We start from the raw sequence: 23,064 nt of genomic DNA, 5'->3' as shown, positions 1-23,064 counted from the left end.
TGCTGTCAACTCTTAGTTATTCTTATAACGGTACAAACGTAGATAATATAGAACTCCATTTTTGTTAGGTTTGGGAAGGTTTGGTGTTTGTATATAAATGAAGATGTGTAAGAATGAGAATGAATATGTTCTTTGTGATGCTTTATAACAAATGATGAAGGCACATAATAAAGGCTGAACTCCAGATGGATGAAAGAAACAGTGCAGCTTCCCCAACTCCCTCACTTGTGTGTTCTCTTTCCCACTCATGCCATCATTCATGTGTTACGGGGTAAAAGCATCCTTTTTGTCTAATGGAAGTGACCCTCCTGTCCCTACTCTAAGGCTATAATTCCTAGTAAGGTGAGGCTATATTCAAATGATGCAGCTGTTAACAGTGGAGTAAAGTCATTGAAAGCTTCAAGTTTCAAAAAAACATTTATCTTGGGAAATTCAGACTGTAGCATGAATTTTTTTCAGAGTTAATTGCATTTTATATAACCATTGTTTGGAGGTTTGGCTTAGGTCAGTGCCTTACTGTTTGGTGCTGTGTTTTGTAATCACCCTTAGTTCCATTAACATTTTCCTTACGCTTAAGATACTATCCATAGGCCGGGCGCGGTGGCTCATGCCTGTAATCCCAGCACTTTGGGAGGCCAAGGCGGGTGGATCATGAGGTCAAGAGATCGAGACTATCTTGGTTAACATGGTAAAACCCTATTTCTACTAAAAATACAAAAATTAGCTGGGCATGGTGGTGCGCACCTGTAATCCCAGCTACTCGGGAGGCTGAGGCAGCAGAATCACTTGAACCCAGGAGGTGGAGGTTGCAGTGAGCTGAGATCACGCCACTACACTCTAGCCTGGCAACAGAGTGAGACTCTGTCTCAAAAAAAAGAAGATACTATCCATAAATTAAATATGTTGCTAATCCCAAAAATGTGATGTTAACCAGTAATTTTAGCCCTTACTGTATTAACTATTTACCTGATTTCCTAAAGTACTAACAAATTTGAACTTGACCGTTTGTTTCCTCCTGCTCATTTCCTTTTTGGATACTAAAATGTTTAGAGATCAGGCAGTAGGAGCATCCAGGCATCTGGATAATGTTGTAAGTGAGGTCATCAATCTTTTGGTCCTGGAGATTAATTGTTGGTGGTACCATTTCTGCAAGCCAAGCAGTAAGCAGTGAAGCCAGAGAGACTAAGCTGTTCTTGAAGTTCAAAGTATAAAACCATCTTCTTCCTGCTCCCTGGACCTATTGTGCCATCTGATTCTTACTAAAAGATATGGCAAGTTGAGGCTGTGGCCATGTCTCATACACAACGAACACAATATAACCAGGCAACTAAAGCAGGACCATATTGTCAGTTCTACTAACCTCGAAGACATAATGAGGGCAGCTCACATCTGGGGTGCTTTATAAAATAAAGAAACTGTTTTTGATGCATTAGAGGAGACACTGAATTATAAGAAAACAAATCCCAAGCTGGGAGTCAAGACAACTAGGTTTTAATCCTGGCTCAGTCAGTGGTCAGCTCTGTTACCTTAGTCCAGACTGCTTCTCTTTGGACGCCGTTCATTCTCTTAGACTAAATGACAAGTCCGAATGTTTATAACGTCTCCTTTGCCCTGTACGTACCCCCTCAGGTGGCCAGGTGGTAAACCTGATGAACCAGCGCCTGCAAACAGGCTTTACAGAGAATGAAGTGCTCCAGATATTTTGTGATACCTGTGAAGCTGTTGCCCGCCTGCATCAGTGCAAAACTCCTATTATCCACCGGGACCTGAAGGTACAGACCACACTCTTTCATTACGGGCATTCTACTCAATATTTTCTGTCTGCCCCAGGGATGGAGTAGATACTGTGGGGATATGAGAGAAATTTAAGATATGGTCCCTGTTTTTATGTTTATATTCTGCCTGAGGAGAGAAAATAACAAAGGAAAAAGTACAGTACAGGTGTAAGTTTTATTACTTAAGCAGCCTCCAGAAATTCTTTATAATTATCACATGCCTGAGCCTGTGTTGTTTTTGTTTTTCCTGATATACTCCCCCCACTTTTTCAGGATTGTGAAAAGTAATACTTTTAATTTAAATACTTAGTAAACAATGATGCTTGGTTTTTAAAGTCTTATTTCATATTTTGCAAAATCAACTAATTGATTTTTTTTAATTGTCCTAATTGCCATCACCTTGCACTGTGCCTTTCATATTGTAGTCACTTGACAGTGTTTGTTGAATGGAATTGGCACCTTGTTAGGGTTCAACTTAGCATGTATTGGGCACCAATTACGTGCCATGTACTCTACTACGTTTTATGTACAGTGTCTCTTCAGGGGGAGACATTCTTTGTTACGTTTTATAGTTGAGGAAACTAAGAAGCAGAGAGGTTATGTGACTTGCCTAAAGTCATATAACTAGGAAGGACAGTGCCAGAATTTGAATCCAGCCTTCAGATTCTAAATTACAATTTCTTTTCATTCTACCGTGTTTCAGGAAACATGCTTCATAGCTAATAACTTGAATCAGCATCCCCTAGCATGCTTGTTAAATGCAGGCTGGTAGGTTCCACACTGAATCTCTTGGGCCAAAATTTTGGTAGTGACATCAGGGAAGCCCAAGAAGCCATATCTTAATAAGAACACTGGGTGGTTTTTGTATACTCTAAAGGTTTTGGGATAAAGCAGCATACCTGCATTTCTTTTATTTCTTAACTTTTTAAAAAAAATTGAGACATAATTCACATACTATAAAATTTACTGCTTTAAAGTATATAATTCAGGCCAGGCGTGGTGGCTCATGCCTATAATCCCAGCACTTCAGGAGGCCAAGGCGGGCAGATCACTTGAGATCAGGAGTATGAGACCAGCCTGGCCAACATGGCGAAACCACGTCTCTACTAAAAATACAAAAAATTAGCCGGGTGTAGTAGCGCATGCCTATAGTCCCAGGTACTCAGGAGGCGGAGGCATGAGAATCACTTGCACCTGGGAGGCAGGGGTTGCAGTGAGTGGAGATCACGCCACTGCACTCCAGCCTGAGCAACAGAGCGAGACTCTGCCTCAAAAAAAAAAAAAAAAAAAAAGAAGTATAAAATTCAGCAGTTTCTAGTATACTTACAAAGTTGTGTAACCATCGCTACTATCTAATTCCAGAACATTTCATCATCCCCAAAAGAAACCCTGTATCCATTAGCAGTCCCTATTCTGTCTCCCCTTTCCCTCTCTCCTGGCAACCCCTAATCTACTTTCTGTCTCTGTATTTTCATGTTCTGAACATTTCATATAAATGGAATCATCATATGTGACCCCTTCTGTCTGACTTTTTCACTTAGCACAATGTTTTCAAGGTTCGTCAATGTTATAGTATGTATCAGTACTTCATTTTCATAGTTTCATAATATTCTGTTGTATGGATGTACCACATTTTGTTTATCCATTCATTCACTGATGAACATTCGAGTTGTTTTCACTTTTTGGCTATTATGAATAATAACACTGCTATGAACATTCATGTACCAGTTTTTGTGTGGACATATGTTTTGAATTCTTATAGGTCTATACCTAGGGGTAGATTGTGGGGTCATATAGTAGCTCTGTGTTTAACTTTTTGAGGACCCTTCAAACTGTTTTCCAAAGTAGTCACACTATTTTACGTCCATCGGCAATACGTGAAGGTTCCAGTTTCTCCACATCTTTACCAACACTTGTTATTGACCTTTTTTGTTTTAGCCATCCTAGTGGGTATGAAGTGGTACATCCTGGCATTTCTATATTAAGGCAGTTAGCTTACAGGAGAATGAGTATATACCTCCCAAAGGCTTAGATAGCTTTCTGTAGTGTACCTCTGCGCACAGTCAGCCCTTTTTTTCTAAGTAGAAATAGAGGAATGTGGCCGGGCGTGGTGGCTCATGCCTATAATCCCAGCACTTTGGGAGGCTGAGGCGGGTGGATCACCTGTGGTCAGGAGTTCGAGACCAGCCTGGCCAACATGGTGAAACCCCATTTCTACTAAATACAAAAAATTAGCTGGGTGTGGTGGCTGGCACCTGTAATCCCAGCTACTTAGGCGGCTGAGGCAGGAGAACTGCTTGAACCCAGGAGGCGGAGGTTGCAGTGAGCCGAGATTGTGCCACTACACTCCAGCCTGGGTGACAGAGCAAGACTCTGTCTCAAAAAAAAAAAAAAAAAAGGCAAGTGGGGCAGGGAATGCATGTTGTTGAATATTTATTATAAGCTTAGCATAGCACAAGTACATAATTCTGTGGGGATGGGACAAATATAACATTGTTCCTACCCTCAAGATATTCAAAGTATTGTTGGTAAGAAGATACCAATGAAATATTTAGACTTGAAACAGAAATAGATGAAATATAAAACTCTATAGAAGAAAATGATGAATAGAAGATAATCAAGGGGTTTAATGTATGGCCAGATAGTGAGATCAGGCAGTGATGATTGGAATTTTCTGGAAAAGTGGGATTTTGAAGGCCTGATAGGAAGTAAGTGGTCACAGAGAGGATGAAGAACATTCTGGGTAGAGAGTAGAGCCAGAGGGCTCCCTGCAGAAGGGAACAGCAAGGTGTGTGGGGATGAGAAGGTGGGTCAGAGCTCCAGTGTGTGGCCAGTTGCAGACCAGGCTAGAGTGACCACAGGCATTGCTCTGAATATGTATTGACACTACTCCTAGTTGCCTTTAACAATGAGTAAAATTTTTGTTTAAATCCTGTTAGCATGTATTTCAGAACAGGCAGTGGTACCAAAACTTAAGGACCTGACCCCTGGCCTTGCTGCCTGCCTTGGAGAAGAGTGTGAGAGGCATAGAAATAGGGGAGAAATGTGGCTGGTGGGCACCGCTCTTATGATCCATGTGACCTTTTGCCTCTCTGTAGCCCCCGTTCTGCACCCCTTCCATGTCAAATGGGGTTAGAGTTCATCCTGTGAACTCTGACTCTGCACCACCGTGTGACTCATACTGACGGAATTACAAGTGCTGTGAGAGGTGAGCATAGGCAGCTTCCTCCGTATTGCCAAATGCAGAGAACATTTTCCAGTCCCTGTCTTATTCCCCCTGTGGCTTCTGGCTCCTTTGTGACTGTCTCTCCCTTGACCTCTATGATGGTGTCTTCTCCCCAGCTCCTCCTTTCCAGGCTCCTTGGCTTTCTTCTCAAATCACTAGCCTCTCCGAGCCTGAGTTTCATCATCTGTAAAGTGGAGCTAACAGTGCCTGCTCTGTTAGGGTGGTGGTGAGGTTGAATGAGGGAGTGCTTGTCAATCTCTAGGCGCACATCCCTGGCATGGTAAATGCCTGAAAGGGCTCAGAGGTGAGGACAAGGGAAAGAGCAGAGGGACACAGAGGATCCTTTTAGAAAGTAATATTCCCATGTTCTCAGAGTCTTCCTTTATATTAACTTTGTTTTTTGTTTTTTTTTGAGATGAAGTCTTGCTCTCTTGCCCAGGCTGTAGTGCAGTGGCACAATCTCAGCTCACTACAGCTGTCACTTCCTGGGTTCAAACGATTCTCATGCCTCAGCCTCCCGAGTAGCTGGGATTACTGGTGCCCGCCACCACGCGTGGCTAATTTTTGTATTTTTAGTAGAGACGGGGTTTCACCATGTTAGCAAGACTGGTCTTGAACTCTTGACCTCAAGTGATCCGCCTGCCTTGGCCTCCCAAAGTGCTGGGATTATAGGCATGGGCCACCATGCCCAGCCCTCTTTATATTGATTTTTAAACACTTACTGGATTAAATGAAGCCTGAATGATAGTCATGTCATACCAGTAAATAACACCTGTCCAGCTTACGTAGTTACCAGGATAGCACTGCCTGGTGACATTCCCTGTGCTACAGTGAGGTGCTGGGTCAGCATCACCCAGTGATGGGGCCCTGGAGACAGAGCTCAGTGTCTTGCCTGGGATGCTGAGTAGGTCGGTGGGAGGGCTAAGGCAGCGGGCCCCAGCCTCTTCCTTCACTGCACTGAACAGCCCACAAGATGTTTCAGCAGGGGAATGCGGAGCAAACTGGAATGAAAGGCTAGAGTGAGGTTACCAGACTTCATTTCCCCAGCCAGCCCTCAGTGCTTTACCCCTTGCACCTCAGTGCTCCTAAGACGGAGGCAGCGCAATGCTGGACACACAGTAGTTGGCCTTCTGCATCTGATGTTCCACATCTGCAGATTCAACCATCTGTAGGTGGAGAATACACACAGTTGTCCCCCCTTATCAGTGGGTTTTGATGCATGGTTGGTTGCATGGAGGGAGACGTGAAACCTGCAGATAAGGAGAGCTGATTGTATTGGACTCTGTGGTTGTGTTTTCATCAATATTGAAGATCATCAGGCATGCTGCCAATTTGTTCACTGTGGTTCAGGAGACTCTTTCTCCTTTACCTTGGATATAGGGACCATGGGAAGAGGCCTGGATTGTGATTGTTGCAGAGAAGTCCTGGTCGCTGTTGTTTTTAGTCATTGACTCCCCAGATCTTACACTCGATGCCATCTAGATGCTTTCATTAGCACGTTAGATTTTATTGCTGTCTGCTAGTATGTCCGCGCTGGGCAGTTACAGTTGTCTGCGCATCTGCAGCTTCCCCAAGTGCTCCTGTTCACCCTGGCTCTGTCGTTGCATCACATAGTCTCAGCGACTCTGAGCTCCATGTCACTGTGAGAACCAGCCACCACAGTCCTAGCAGTAGTCAGGGCCAAAGAGTTCTCTATTTTCCTGTTTTCCAGAGAAAATGCTAGTTGCTTCTCTGTGAGCAGGATTTCCATTCGGTGAGAAGGTGCCACTGTGAATAAAAGTTAATAGGATGAGGGAAAGAGCACGGGCCAGGCCTACTTCGGGCCTTGTGGAGCCAGCGCCACTCTGCCTGTGGGTCTGCTGGTTCACATGCAGAACTGAGGAAACCCCCCTTGCCCTCCCTACTGCCTGTGCAGCCTTTCTTTCCAGTGACAGAGGAAATAAACTGAAAGTGGTCCCTGTCCTTAAGCAGCTTATGTTCTAAAAATAACCATAGCAGAAGTGCTGTTCTATATTGAAGATCTCTCCTCTAATACATTATTTTAACACTTTAATCATTTTCCCCATTTTAAATTTTCATTTCTCTGAGAAAGATAAAGATCAGTATTGCAGATCATGGTGTTGTGGATCTGGGAAGGTCACCTAAGCCAGCCCTCTTCTTTACCAGTGAGGAAACCTCCGCACAGAAAGGCTGTGACCTGCACAGGTAGTTGAGTGATCAAACCAGAACGGAGACCACGGTTTTTCACTCCCGTTTTATTCTGTTGTATTATACCATGCTATTTGTCCAAGCACTTAAGAAAGGAGAAGAAAGGGTTAAGGCTTAACATGCACATTCATGTCAAAAGAGTCATAGATGTCTCCTTTGTTAGAATAGAGATTTTGATCTCATGAAGTATAATAGGATGAAGATTCTTGTCCCATTTTTAGAAACACAGGTTTGAAAACCTGCATTCATCTAATCCTTCAAATTTTGCAGTGGCAATACATTCTCTGACTGAAATGCCTAATGCCATACCTGTTTGGAATAATATTGAGATGAAGAGGTCAGTAGGAGGTAGCCTCTTAGATCTTTTTGCTAAAGCTGTAAGCAGAGTTTGACAGTGACAACTTCAATTGCACTCTTAAGCTGAGAGGCTAGGAAATGGGGTCAGCAGCATCGCACTCTCAAAGAATGGAAAGGTTCGGGATTGTAAGCAGTGGTAAACAATCTTGAGCTTCACCCTAAGGGACTTTGCCAAAAACAAAGTCCCTATGCAAATTCTCTGAAGCTTTCAGAAGGTGGTGTACGACTGTCTAGTTGGGTTTCTACCTTCTTAATCTCACATAATCTATTCACACCTGCTTACTTCCATCCCTGTTGATTTTTCTCTATACCCTGCCCTAGTCATCTCACACCCAGACTGTTGTACCTGCCCTTGTTGGCTTCCTTCTTTTCTTCTCCCTCAATTTTGCCAAGCTAATTTTCATAAAATGGCTGTCTTCATGTGCTGCTGACCTGAGAAAAATGCTGAATGGTGCCCAAGTGCCCTTCCTCAGTCTGCTGTCTGTGTGCTTCTCTGGTCCTCTCCCTTTCTCCTTCCTCCTTCCTCGCCAATCTCAACTGTCCATCCCCCTTAATTGCACAATGCACATCAGCACGGTGGGTGAGGGTGTGGTCCTGGCAGTCCGGTGGCCTGAGCCTAAATACTGCCCTACTATCCTGTGACCTCAGACAAGTTAGGTAACTTCTCTGGCCTCTTTTTTCTAATCTATTAAGGGAGACAATAAGGCTTTGTAAGGATTATATGAAATACTCTAGGTAAAAGCGCGTGGAGCAGTGTCTGGCACTTAATAAGTGCTGTTAGTTGCTACTGTTATTATCACTCTGGTTTCTATGCTTTGTTCCTGTTATTAGTTTCACTTTTGTAAGTCCTTCACTTCCTCCATGGCTCCACATTGTCTTGTCTCCCCTTTCCTGACAGCAGTGGTTCATAGTAGGTCCTTTCCCATGTTTTCAGCTTTCTTTGCAGTACTGGTACTATGCATAGCACTATTCCAGCCACAGTGGCCTGCCTCTGTGCCTCAGACCCTTCAGGCACACTCCCATCTCAGGGCCTTTGTGCTACTGTTTTCTGCTTGGAATGCTCTTTCCCCATATGGCACATGGCTGCTCCTTCTTCATCCAGGTCTCTGTTCCCCTTGGAGAGACCTTCCCCGACTATACTATTTAAAATAACATTCGTCTTCACCTTACATACATTCACCTGCTGTATTCTTGTCATAATATTTATCACTACCAGGCAAGTATAATTATTTTCTTCTTATCCCCAGTTGGACTGTAAGCTCTGTGAGAGGATAGACCTTGTTGTGTTCACAGCCTTATCCCTAGAGCCTAGAAAAGTTCTTGGCATATAGTAGGAGTTGAAACGTGTTTCTTTTGTTTTTTAGTTTTTAATTTTTGTGGGTACGTAATGGGTGTATATAGGAGTTATATGAGACATTTTGATACTGGTATGCAATGTGTAATATCACATCAGGATGAGTAGGGTATCTGCCACCTCAAGCATTTATCCTTTGTGTGAAACATGTTTCTTTGATAAATGTATGGTATAACAGCTTTTCTAGATGTACATTCCAGCATTAGAAGTGTAGAAACTGATTCAGAAAGCGAGTGCACACATACAATAGGAGAAGCATGGTTTTAGATGAGCCCTGCCAGGTGCATGAGGCCGAGGAGGAAGATTGTTGCTGAATGATGCTGAATAAGTGATTTCATCGGCAACATTTAAGGGTCCCTGGCGTGTGTACAGCACTGGACAAGGTGTTATGGGAGATGCACAGGCATAACACAGTGCCCTTTTCTCTAAAGTTTTGTATTCTTACTTGGGAAGGCAAGCATAAATACATAAGAAGTTAAATACCAACCCACAGTGAAAGAAACATTGCCAAATTGTAAATGATTATCAGTGATTATTACCTACCAAAGGTTGGCAAAATTTATTTACAAAGGGCCAGATAATAAATATTTTAAGTCTGTCATAACTGCTCACTCTGCTGTCAGAGCTCAAAAGCAGCCATAAACTTTAGGGTAAGTAACAAGTGGGCATGGTTTGATGTGGCCTGAAGGCCTTTGGCAGCCTCTGCTATTGACAGTAAGTTCTGTAGATTTTGTGAACTGGTTGTGAAAGGTTTTTCTGAGGAGTTACAACTGGAGTGGAGAATGAGCAGTTGAATAAAAGGAGCAATTGAATAAAAGGACAAATTAGGTTGTGTATGGAATGCTTAGGAGACATCGAACAAATCAGCCTGGCTAGTGTTTAGACACTTCATTCCTTATTCACTAGATTTCTATTGTGGGGGCATTTCTGAACATAAAGCACCAAGAAAGTCCTGTCCTTAAGCTTGCACCCAATGCATTAGACAAGTATTGTCTCCCCTACTATAGTTGGAAGTAAGGATGGGGGCCTTGAGTAATTGCTCTGCTTCTAACCTGCTTCCTGTAGCAGGAATATAATTGCCTATCCTTTCTAGAGTGAGGTTGTTTAGGTTCACTTCCCAGCTGTACCAACTATTGGCTGTGTGACATTTAGCAAGTGACTTAATCACTCTGAGCCTCATTTTCTCCATCTGTGAGAGAAGGATAATAATCATATTGGGATTATGAGGATGTAGTGGGATAATCCATGTAAAATGCTGAGTACAGTAGTACTGGCAATAATAAAGCTCAGAAAATGATGGCTGTTATTTTTATAACCTCTAAATTAGATTGAAAACATTAGCGTTGTTTTGTTGGAATTATTTTAAATTCCTAAAGTGTGTATATGCTCAGGAAGCTTGACTGTGTCACTTTGTGTAAATAGATTAAACTGGTGAGCTTTATAAAAAAGACATAGATGATGGAAATATTTGCGTGCCTCAGCCTTATCTCAAAGGAATGAATCTCTCCTAATCTTTCATAACCCTATGCTTAAGAATTGTTCATCATAGAACATACCTGTGCAGGTTGATGGCTGTAGTTCAAACTACCTATGTGGCTGGAAATTCCAAGGTCAAAATTATAGATTAAAGTGATTCCAGGGTAGTAGTGCCCCCAGCTACACCAGTATATCCTCTCTGGAAGAACAATAGACTTTAAACCCAGATCTTACAAGCTTTTTACAGATTAAGTTCCAAGGAATGTAAGTTAACAAAAACAAAAAGCTCCTCACAACACCACCATAAGCAAGGTTTAGTAGGAGTAAGAAACAATAAACTGCAGAATCAGTTGGCAGCAGAGACTTCAAATATTGGAATTGGCAGATACAGACTATAAAATATACTTAATGTAATTCTTAGAAGAATTAAAAGAAAGTATAGAAACAAGTATAGAAATTAGAGACTATTATAATTGACCAGTTGTTTTTAAAAGAATCAGTAGTAGTACAGTAGTACGGCCTGGATATTTGGTGGCTCCTATCTTGCGCCTGACACACCAGGTTTGCACACACATACACACACCTACACAGTGTTTTTTGGTTTATTCCATTCAACATACATTTTTTATACCAAGCATTGTGTTAGGCACTAGGTAGAGAAGACCAAGAATATGATTATAAGAAGATGCTTATCTTTAAGGAGCTTATCTTTCAGAGTAGACTATTTTATAGTCTACTCTTGCCTTTGTTTTCCAAAGGTGATCAGTCTTTGGAAGGCTGAAGGCAAAAGACAATGGAGACTACAGTCTTAATGGCCTAACAAGATTTTTTGGCTGCCATTTTACTGCCCACACATAGCCAGGTCTGTCCTCCGGCATACTAGTCAGCTCAGTTCACCTAGACCCAAAATCAGTACACCTTGAGTACATAGTGCCCACTATTTTGGAGTTGTCATTTCATTTGTAGAGTCCTTTGATACCAGGGATTTCTCTAGATTTGGGGCTTTATAAGCTCCCTGCTGCCTAGAACTCCTAACTCACTGCCCAAAGAATTCATTTATTTAAAAAATTAGGGCAATACATTAACAGGAAAACTGCCCATTTATCCCCAGACATTTTATCACATTGAGAAGTAACTGAAACATAAGCAATATTAATTCTGAATATCCTAACCTAGTGTAGTAAAGACATTTATATAGGTACTTATAAGGTCCAAGTGAAGTAATTCACATCATGAGAGAATGAAATACTGAAGGACAATAGGGAAAGAGTGACATTTTATCTGAGTGGGAGCCTGAAAGTTTCAAAAAGGACATGGCATTTGAACTGGGGTTTGAAATGAGATTTTGATAGTTGGCTAAGGAGGTGGGGTTGTGGAGGGCATCCTGGCCTAAAAGAAGAGCAAGAGCAAAGGCACAGGTCAGAGGCTTGAAAGTATGAGGATGGTTTCTGCAGAGGTGAGAAATGTGGCTGAAATTTACAAAAATGGCACTCTTGCATCCCCCACCGTGGAGTTTCCTCTTTTTTCCCTCTCCACCCACTTTTCCCTCTTACTCTGCATCTCCTGTGTTCCACTTGGGATGACCCCTGTTGAGATACTTGGAGAGGAATAACTTCCCTGTGCACATTAATGAGACTGCCAGAAATAAAACGTTTATTTATGTGACTGTGAAACCAAATTTTCACGTGCATTACTAAATGATATCTTGGAATGGGTGGTTGGGGAATGTTTTTCAGGTTGAAAACATCCTCTTGCATGACCGAGGCCACTATGTCCTGTGTGACTTTGGAAGCGCCACCAACAAATTCCAGAATCCACAAACTGAGGGAGTCAATGCAGTAGAAGATGAGATTAAGAAGTAAGCTTTTTCTCCTTTCATGGAGTTTTGTCCACAATCAGATGAGCAACTTTACCTTCAGCTTATGGATGAGAAGGTCAGGGTGGGGAGAGAATGGTGATAGTCAGTTGTCCTTCATCTCAGAGCATCATGTTTACAGTTGGGTTGTTTGACTTTAAGTGAAGAATGAGGAGGGGGTTTACAGGCATACATCAGAGTAAAAGGAAGGACTCTTAGAGCACTTTATCAGTGGTCCTGTGGTCATTGTACATAGATGTTTTGATTTATGATGTCACAGAGCCTATAAAAAGCTGAGAGGTGCACACACCGTAAAAGTACTAGCATGTTTTTAAGTATGATCACAACAACCATGACATTATCAGTCAAACAGATGTGCTTTTTACTGAACCCTAAATTGCTCCTTTCTTCCTGCTCATAAGGCGATCTAAGTGGAAATAATGGTGAGTAGGTTATTAAAGTCTCTGCAGATACTGAATCACAGACTTTCATGATAAAAAGCTTCTTTAGATTTGTGACTCCAATAAGAGCCTGACCCATTTTCTCCTCATGTCCACAATGTTGGATTTTTTACAGGCAACAGCACTCGCTATTACTACTAATAAGTCAACAGTCTAGCCTGCACACCTACATCCTGATCTTCTCTGTCCTTTCATGCGTCACCCCAGACAACCATGCCCGGGGCAAGAAGAACCTGATCGACCCAAGGCCCTGAGGGATGCCTAGACGTGTCCCATCTGGGATCTAGAGACTAAAGCATCATAAATCACATGCTTGGTAACACCAAGACACTCACTTCGAGGACGTGCTTATACTACTTTTTTCTGGAGCAAGAGATAAAACTGTTATTTCAGCCTGATTCCAGGAGCAAAGAGGAAGGGCTCTTGATTCCATCCACTCCTCACCCCAGCCAGGGCCCACTTTCTGCTCTTCTGCAGAGTACCACAGTCAGTATTACATCTCTGTGTTGAGCCACATGTAAAGGCCATTTTTAAAACAACAAATTGACAAAATATAGTATCAGTATAAGAATTTTGAGAAGATTTTGTCATTTGAGGACCCAAGAAAAGTTGCTTTTAGAATTTATTTAATGCATTAGTGTCTGAGTCCCCACATGTTCTTAGACTAGGAGGACTGCTGCCAGAACGCCTTGGTGTGATGATATGATTGTACCAAGGACAGCCTTTCATTTTATCTCTACTAATATTTCATACTCTCTTCTGCAGATTGCTCCCAGGGATTCTGTTAATGTAAAAAGAAAAAAAGTATTTCTGCTGCTCCTGGTTTTTAATTATAGTATTGACATATTTAATAAAAAATGAATCTCTTGATTGTAGATACACAACGCTGTCCTATCGAGCACCAGAAATGGTCAACCTGTACAGTGGCAAAATCATCACTACGAAGGCAGACATTTGGGTAGGTGTCAGGTAACCTATCCATACCTCAGATAGCAGCAGTCTTGACTGTGAATTCCCAAGGTTAATGCACACAGCGCTATAGCATGGTGGCTACTGTACCATATCATGGTCTACTTACCCCTCAAGGTTATTCTTGATGTGAGAATACCAGCCACTGCTTCTTGAAGCATGATAAAGAAAATTACTTCCAAGCTCTGTGAAAATTATTTAGATTTTTTTTCATGTATATGTTACTGGTTCTTAAGAGCAAAACAGGTAAATACTTATTATTTACTGGAACACGATTTGGTAATAATGGTAGAAATAATGTAACTCAGCTGCTAACAGTGGTGTTGGGTTCTAAAACTCATGTTTCTAATACATTAATAGTCTATAGTTTTTGTATCTGCTAGTAAATGTGGATGGTGCCAGTTTCTCATTAGATCCATTTAGAGTCATGATAAATAAGCCACTAGTAGCAATCTGCTATCTTTATTTTTTAGGCTCTTGGATGTTTGTTGTATAAATTATGCTACTTCACTTTGCCATTTGGGGAAAGTCAGGTGGCAATTTGTGATGGAAACTTCACAATTCCTGATAATTCTCGATATTCTCAAGACATGCACTGCCTAATTAGTAAGTATTTTAAGTTTCTAGTTTCATATTTTTATTTCTAATCACAAAGAATGAATTGGGGGATAAAGGGATTAGATTCCAGGAGTAATGAGTTAGATGCAAAGGTAAAGAAATTAGTTGATAATGATTGGGAACTCAAAGACAATGTAACTGTCTAGTTAGAGTGGTGGGTCTTTTTGCTAGAAATCTGAAGTTCTGTTTCACACCTGAGCCCAGCCACCCAAGCAGAAATCCTAACTGCCTGGAGCAGTATAGTGCTTCTATATTCTGTTGCAGTCTCTATGAAAGCTCCGGTACCAAAGGAGTCCAGCTGACTCATATCAAGTGATAAGAAATTCATCTTTGCAAAACTGGAAGCAACTCAAATGAAAATGATTGCAGTACATTCACTGGAGTGAATAGATAATTAAGACTATATAACTCCGTGGAACCAGGTTTTTCTTCTCATTTAGGTTAATCACTGGATTTTGATAACATGCATCTAAACTCAATGCTTTCTTAAAAATAGTCTTAAGATTCCCCACTATTTGGTATCATCATAGCAAGCATATGTACTAACATTCATTAACCAGATGGTAGAATAAGTAATCTTTAAAGAAAAAAAAAAGAATAATATTTGCACAAAGCCCCTATACTAAAATGCTAAAGAAGCAGAGATTTTTATCATCTTTCCACATTGGTCAAGACTCTTAACATCTAAGTTTTAACTGTTATGGATTGATTATAAATCCTGAGTAACCCATTTGGGTCCTGCATGGGGATACACTGGAAAAAATAGAAGCAGCAAATGTGGGTGGAGCATCTGACATTTGTTGAGGGCCTACTTATACCTCATTTAATTCTTAAAATCCTTTATGTATTAAGTGTAATTATTCCCATTATGCAAATGAGGAAACTGAAACTGAGAAAATGTAGGTAACTTATCCACTTAACATAGATACAGCTTTTAAGGTGCTGCCCATTCCATTGTGCCAGTTTTGTCAATCAGCCTCTTCCATTTATTAACAAAAAAAGGAGGAATATTTAAAGGGCTGGATTATGACATTTAATAATTGTTGGATTGTTTTAAGAGATAAAGCATTATGTCCATGTTAGAATTCCAGGTATGTAAGTGAGATTGGTAGGAAATATGGGAAAATGGCCAACTTTGATATTAGACTAGTATTATTTTTTGATAATTTTTAAAACATTTATGCAGTAAATTCATATTGGGAAATACAACTCTTTATGAATGTCTATACCATGGACATCTTTCCCAAACTGCTTGCAAACCATTTGGCAACTCCACTATCACCCTAAACGCACAGATCTAAAATTAAGTTTATCATCATTAGCCCTCCTTCCTTCTTTTTACCCTCAATACCCAGTTCGCCTGTCCTCTTTTCAGTTTCTCTCAGTGGTATCACCATTGAAGCCTGGAAGAATGAAATTTAAGATTTCTTTGGATCCAGCTAGCAAGAGAGGAAAGGTTCAGTCGTGTACTCGGCCATATTCCTTTTTTGGAGTTTCTACTGTTTTCATTACATTCTTTATATGAACATCACTGTCACCATAGTATATACAGACTCTGTCAGCTCATGCCTTTACTGTTGGACTGGTCACCAGCTTTTCTCCTCTCTTTTCAATCCATCCAGCACACCCTCACCAAAAGATTCCTCTTATAAAACACCACCTCTCATGTCCCTGATTAGGAAACTCTAGCGGCTTGCCAATGGTCTCACAGTAGGGCTCAGCTTCTTAGCATGGCATTTAAGATTCTGATTCTGATTGCATTCCACCCACTCAGACTTCTCTCTACCCTGTCCTTCTGGCTCCTCTATTTACTTGCAGCAGGCATTCTCTTGTCTTTCTCCAAGTCCTTCTTTGCTCAGACTGTTCTCTTAACTAGAATGTCTTTTTCTTTGCTTCCCCACTGACTAAATTCTGTCCTGCCTTCAAGGGCCACCTCAAGCTCTGCCTCTTCTGCAAGGCAGTCACAAGGCTGCACCCTCACTGATCTTTTTGGAACTTAGTGTCCAGAGCATTCACTTTATTATTTAAGCAGTCAGCTGCCTTGCGTTGTTGTTTGCATGTGTATGTGTATGTTTGTGGTCTTCTCAAATAATTTTTTTTCCCCCTGAGGATTTTTCCAGCCTCAGGGAGGCAGAAGCTTAAAGGACCTGGAAATAGACAAGTGATCTATAGGTCACAGGAAAAGTAGATATGCATACGTTACTTTGTAATTTCTTTTAATCTGGAAACCAGCTAATATTTCCAACAAAAGAATAATAAGTAAATTCATGAAGTTTGGGTTTTGGTTATAATTATTAAGAATAATCATTCGTTTAGTAAGATAAGATGAACCAAGGAAGCCCATGGTAAGACCGTGTAACCTCCTAGGTATCGGAGTATGAAGGTGGTAACTTTCATATTGAGAGCTTGAGTCCCTCTGGTGCAAAGCATAGAATATGAACTTTAAGTATCTTTGTTACAATCTATATATTTTATTTTCTTATGGATATTAAATATTTCAGGAACATTAGAGCTTCTCTTTCTAAGGGAGAGAAAAGGGGATAATTATACTGTCTGACTTCTATGAAAAATAAAAGTTTAAAAACAAAACATTGGGAGTAGAGAGAGGAATGATGCTTCCTAGCTAGTGTAATAACTGTTGGAATATTATTAAATAAATTCACATGTTTGCCTTAGGGTATATGTTGGAACCAGACCCTGACAAAAGGCCGGATATTTACCAGGTGTCCTACTTCTCATTTAAGCTACTCAAGAAAGAGTGCCCAATTCCAAATGTACAGGTACGTGAATGGTGCTATTTAAAGGGAGTAAACATTATCAAATTGCCATTTTGAGCTCCTGGGGTGTTAATCAGCTGTTTAAATGAATTTAGATGTCCCTTGCTTTATCTACTGGGGGTAGTCAAGCAAAGCTAACTGTGAAGCAGTTGCCATAAAGGGAATCCAGTTTTCCCATGGAATTTAATTATAAAACTGAAGCAATTGTACTGAACAAAAAAATGCCCTAGGGATTGAGTTGGACGCTTTGGATGAAGATTGACCAACTTCATGTCTGTCAACTCTTCTAGTTCTCTGAGAGCCACATGCCTGTTGTAGTCACCTGGAGGTGATTACAGGCAGGCTACTTTCCCGAGGCAATGCCTTGGACATGCCCCCATGCCTGTTAGAACCTACGCCCCTTGTCCCCGTTCTCCTTCCTTGCAGCAGAGCTTTCTTGATTTTGCTTCTGCTGTTGGCCATTTATAACTCACACTCCTCTTTCTCTGTCCTTCCAGCACATCAAGCCATAAGAATGTTTTCTACATTTAGTAATCCTAAACTCTGCACTCAGTTTTCAGAGCAAAATGCTTGCAAATGTCCTTTTTACAGATTTCAAATGTTGCTAGTACGGCTGGGCATGGTGGCTCACGTCTGTAATCCCAGCACTTTGGGAGGCCGAGGAGGATGGATCACCTGAGGTCAGGAGTTCAAGACCAGCCTGGCCAACATGGCAAAACCCCATCTCTACTAAAAATCCTTGCATATTTTTCATGTCATATTGTGATTTATTTTTCTTAAATATTTTATTAATGGATGCTATAATAATAGATTCTGATCTGAAATGTTCTTGCTAGTTCCTCCAATAATGAACTTTTGATTTCACTGCTGGGACTTAAGGGTGCTGCTCCTCTTTCACTCTCACATTTGGAATCAGATGTGGGGTTCATCCATGTGGAGCTCAGAATATTGGCTTTATTACTAATAAGCTTGAGTCAGAAGATGCAGCTTGACCAGTCAGGCTCCCTAGCATTAGACCCACATGACTGAAATGTAAACACCTGATTCCTGGGGGACCAGCTCTTCTTTAAAGGAAGGAGGGCAAAGCAAACCGGACCAGCTCAGTTTTTCTACAGTCTTAACAGTCACAGAAGTCAACTCTTCTCCTTTGGGAGAGGAATGCTTGAAGAAGAGGAAGTGCTAGAAGTTTTCTAGCAGAAAATCTCCCCCCACCTGGAAACATGAAGGAAGCGAGAGGACCCTCCTAAAAGGCCAGTTTTATAACTAGTATTGTGTGTTGGTTTCCCAGATTAAAACGAGGGATACTGTGCAGTAACCAAACATGACTGTCTTCTTTTGTAGTCCCACTTTCCCATTCATAAAGTTAAATAATGTGAAATCTAAGTGGAAGCATTCAGATTGGTAGCTAGTTTTTTAAAAGTACACCTCACAAGTCTTATGTCATTTGGTACTCAGTAGTGGTAAGCACTTGTTTTAGGGTTAGGGACAGCTAGTTGGTGCTCCCTCATGAGGCATTATTAGATGGATAGTGCAGATTTCAAGCCAGAGGAACTCTCCTTGGCTTGTGGACTGAGTAGTGCCTCACATGTTGGGAAGGGTACTGGCTCAGCAGCCATACACAGAGGTGGCTGTGGTTTTCTCTGAGCATTCTAACTTGCAGACTCAGTGCACCCTGGTTTGACACATTGATAAGCTCGAACGAAGATCTGTCTGGGATCCAGAATAATACCAGCTACAGACATTTCCTTCCCATTCCTTTCATAGCATCACTTCTAAGCTGTGCTATAGGAGGAGAAGGGTACTGAGATCAAGCCCCAGTGACTCACCATGGTACAGAAGGTAGAGAATAATCCGGGAATGTGTGCTGCACACAAGCTACTCTCTCCTCTTCTCAGATACATTGCTTCCCTGACTGTGGCTGAGTCTGATATGCATTTGGTTAACTTTCCTTCCCTCTACCAGACAGAGCTCAGGGCCTGGAAGCTGCTCCAGAAGATCCCAAAATGTGTTTCCATCAGCTCTCAGTCCCAGTCAGGCTGCTTATTCTTTAACAAAGAAATCTGTGATGTCCTTTTGTTTTGTTCTGTTTTGTTTGCAATTCTATAGAACTCTCCCATTCCTGCAAAGCTTCCTGAACCAGTGAAAGCCAGTGAGGCAGCTGCAAAAAAGACCCAGCCAAAGGCCAGGTAAGAAATGCCTTCATGAACACATGTCCTCCTTGGATTGCCACAGCAGCAGGGAATGATGCCTGTGTTTCTTGATTCTTATGTATGCTGTCATGACCAGGGGCTGCACAGATCAGGAAAGCAAGCTCTGTCTTGCCTAGGCAGAAACGGTTCTTTGGGAATGCAAAAAGGAATATCATGAAATATTGTGATCTACATTTGAAAGAGAATCAAGAACTCTGAAGCTGTTTTCTTTGCATGGGAATAGGCTCAGGGGCATTCAGAGATGAGGCAACAGCAGACTTTAAATATTGCTAGTACGGCCAGGCGTGGTGTTTCACGTCTATAATCCCAGCACTTTGGGAGGCCTAGGAGGGTAGATCACCTGAGGTCGGGAGTTCAAGACCAGCCTGGCCAACATGACAAAATCCCATCTACTAAAAATACAAAAATTAGCTGGGTATGGTGGCACACACCTGTAGTCCCAGCTGCTTGGGAGGCTGAGGCAGGAGAATCACTTGAACCTGGAAGGTGGAGGTTGCAGTGAGCTGAGATCACGCCACCGCACTCTAGCCCGGGCGACAGAGCAAGACTCCATCTCAAAAACAAAACAAAACAAAACAAAACAAAACAAAACAAAAAAAGAATGTTGCTAGTACAAGAGTATCCTAAACATTAGGCAGGCATGGTAGCACGTGCCTGTGGTACCAACTGCTCTGGAGGCTGAGGCAGGAGAATTACTTGAGGTCAGGAGTTTGGGATCAGCCTGGGCAATACAGTGAGACCCTATCTCTTTTTAAAAAATGTAAAAAATATCCTAAACATGTGTCCTGACTTTTGGTTAGCTGCATTCACCACCCTAACACTCAACCTCCCTTTCCTTCTTACTTTCTATGGCTCCAACCACATTAGGAAAATGCAGGTCAAAGCACCAGGTCAGTGAACAGCAGAAGACTCTCTGGGTCTTAGCTAATCACAGTCTGTTCAACCTAGGTTCTTCCAAAAAGCAGATGCCAAAAGAGGATTAAACGAAGATGTTATTTGGGGAAATGCCCATGTGAGGGAAAACAGGGAGGGAGCCAGGAAAGGCTGGGAGTGCCATCGGAAGGCAATGCAAGTCTGACCCAGACAGAGGGAGAAGAAGCATGGGTGGAAGTGACCTAGACTGTCTCACAACTTAAGTAAGACTCACCAAAGGTGTTGGGGTCCTTGTGCCAGTCAGCCAGCAGATAGTCCCTCATCTCCTAGGAATTCCTGTGGGTTGGAGGTTAGGGCTGGCAGCAACCTATGGGAAGCATGGCACCAGGGCAAACACACAGCAGTGCTGCATTTAGTGCTGCATTTTGGGAATGCAGCAGCTGAGCATTGGGGTTTTATGCTCCCTGTAGATGAAGGTCTACAAAGCACTTTCGCATGGCTGCCACCCCTTCCAAATGGCAGATTCTAGAGGTAGCGCAGGAGATATTTATACTCCTCTTTTTTCTACCACCATCACGAGTAAGTGCTAGCAGCAAACTGCGTCAACAAAGTACCCTGGATGGGAATATGTGAATTTTAATTGAACAGTCAAATAACACCTGTATCTTAAAAAGTTCTTTAATATTTATTAAATGCCTGCTGTGTACATGAAGTTATTTTAGATGTGCCTCTAAAGTAGTGAGACTTTGATTTTTAATAAACGTAGCAAACTTGCTTAACAAACAAAACTTGTTACTTTGTAGTCTGTCCATTTCCTTCACTAATTCTGCCATGCTCACCTCTTTGGAAGTTGTTTTGGGGCTGATTTAAGTAGCTTAGTCCTTTGTGCTCATGGCTGTCTTGTACTAGGCTCAAACATGATATGTGCAGAGGGTAAGCAATGATCCCTTTCCCCACTCCACTCCACAAAACATACTCATTGAAGTCCATACAAACTAATATTTTGGACATTCTACAATTAATAAAACAGATTGACAGTTACTGATAACATTTGATGTTCACATCTGCCTTATGATGTAGGCATATGTTTTTCCCTTTTACACATAAAGGACCCAAAGCTGAAAGAGGGTGAGTGACATACCCATTATCACACAGTTACTTAGTGAGGAGCTAGAACTCAGATATATTTTTCTTTGGCTCCAGATCCCATTGCTCTAATATGTTCCCCTCAAGAGATGATCAACATGGAGGTTGTGCTGTTTGGGTTTCTACAGAAGCCTGCTCACCTCCCTCACCCTTGGCTTTTTCTTTTTTTCCTCTTTTTTTTTTTTTGAGATGGAGTCTTGCTCTGTCACCCAGGGTGGAGTGCAGTGGCGTGATCTTGGCTCACTGCAACCTCTGCCTCCCGGGTTCAAGTGATTCTTCAGCCTCAGCCTCCCGAGTAGCTGGGACTACAGGCGCGTGCCACCACACCCGGCTAATTTTTGTATTTTTAGTAGAGACGGCGTTTTGCCATGTTGGCCAGGCTGGTCTCAAACTCCTGACCTCAAGTGATCCACCCGCCTCAGCCTCCCAGAGTGCTGGGATTAAAGGTGTGAGCCACCACACCCAGCCAGCTTTTTCTTTCTTACACCTTTCTTCTTTTCTCCAGCACGTGTCCCATTTTTCTTCCCACATCCCTTGCCCAGGTTCTAGCCCCCAAGATGTGATAGCCTTTATATCACCACTTCCCCAACCGGCACAAGAGCATCCCTCTAACAGGTTGCCAGTGCAAAGTTTCTGGGCCCAGGATGGACCTTGGAGGTATGTCATGGGAAGGACATGAGGCCAGCTGCTTTGCTTCCTGTTTTACATTCATGGAGGCTGTTTTGGAAATATTTTGACAAAACATGCTTTGGAAATATTCTTGAAACTTATTAATTTTGGCCTAACCTCAGTTATACTCTGTAAAGTGGAGTTTCAAAGGACGGCCAACTCTGATCTGAGTTAGGTAGTAGCTAGCTGCCTGGACTACTGTAAATGAGTGGAAGTTAGCACCTGGGCTTCTGCACCCCTCACAGGGAGCAAGCAGTCTTCCCTATATTAGTTTGAAAGTGTCGATCTGGCTGTGAATTACAGAAAGTCCAAAGTGACAGCTGCGTATAGAAGATAGATGTTTATTTTTTTCTCTCAAGTAAACAAAGTCTGGAGGTAAGTAGTCCAAGGCCAGCATGGCAGTTCTGCTCCATGAGGCCCTCAGGGATCTAGACTTCTTCAAGCTAACCACATCACCATTCCTACAGTGTAGCTATGGCTGCATGGATCAATATGGCAACATCTCTGCTCCTAGCAGCAGGATCAAGGAATAGTCAAAGAGGAAGACAGAGGACTTGAACCAGTTATTTCTTATGGTTTCTGGAAACTGCCACCTGATAATCTTCTTACATCTCATGTAATGCCAGGACTTAGAAACAGGTTCACACCTGTTTTCAAAAGAGACTGGGCAATGTGATTTTTACTCTGGGTGACCCTGTGCCCAGCTAAAACTTCTGTTACTGTGGAAAAAAGATAGTATGTATATTGGAAGAAATGGAGTTTCTGTGACACTTCCTTTTTATTTTTAAACCCTTTGACTTGAATTATTTACTTTTTCCTTCCAGTTCCCATGTTGGATTCACTCATCTGCATGCTTTTCATTTTAGAGAGACCACTTTAACAGCTAGTTGCAGCCAAGTTTGAATCCTCTTCGCATCTGAAAACCATGTGCCTCAAACCTCTCTTTGCATTATTACCCAAAGGGTATTTTGGGAAATCCTAGGAGGTACTAGGTAAAAGCGCCACAAGAAGAAATAAGCTTGAGAATGCAAAGAGAATACTATATAGCATTCTTTTTGAGATTGTCCTTGCATATTCGCACATGAAAAGT

At 41.8% G+C, this 23,064-nt stretch overlaps 1 protein-coding gene across 5 annotated transcripts in view, besides 1 other annotated feature; it reads left to right on the top strand.

Annotated features, from left to right (window-relative positions):
* AAK1 (AP2 associated kinase 1) overlaps positions 1 to 23,064 on the top strand; it is a 185,743-nt gene that overhangs the window by 99,445 nt on the left and 63,234 nt on the right. For all 5 annotated transcript variants that reach the window (NM_001371577.1, NM_001426746.1, NM_014911.5 and 2 more), the window contains exons 5-10: positions 1,630 to 1,772; positions 12,133 to 12,254; positions 13,589 to 13,670; positions 14,155 to 14,287; positions 16,976 to 17,079; positions 19,183 to 19,262. In NM_001371577.1, coding sequence (NP_001358506.1) covers positions 1,630 to 1,772; positions 12,133 to 12,254; positions 13,589 to 13,670; positions 14,155 to 14,287; positions 16,976 to 17,079; positions 19,183 to 19,262 — 664 coding nt within the window. The remainder of the gene's footprint in view (positions 1 to 1,629; positions 1,773 to 12,132; positions 12,255 to 13,588; positions 13,671 to 14,154; positions 14,288 to 16,975; positions 17,080 to 19,182; positions 19,263 to 23,064) is intronic.
* Positions 8,241 to 8,290: an enhancer, noted in NCBI's record as "active region_15972". NCBI's record gives its function as "activates an Ori minimal core promoter by ATAC-STARR-seq in GM12878 lymphoblastoid cells {active_cell/tissue: GM12878}" and the evidence as "EXISTENCE:reporter gene assay evidence [ECO:0000049][PMID:35858748]".

The sequence above is a fragment of the Homo sapiens genome, chromosome 2 (genome assembly GCF_000001405.40).
Source record: "Homo sapiens chromosome 2, GRCh38.p14 Primary Assembly".
Lineage (NCBI taxonomy): Eukaryota > Metazoa > Chordata > Mammalia > Primates > Hominidae > Homo > Homo sapiens.
The sequence above is the reverse complement of the archived record's forward strand: the minus strand, read 5'-3'. Positions and strand labels throughout refer to the sequence as shown.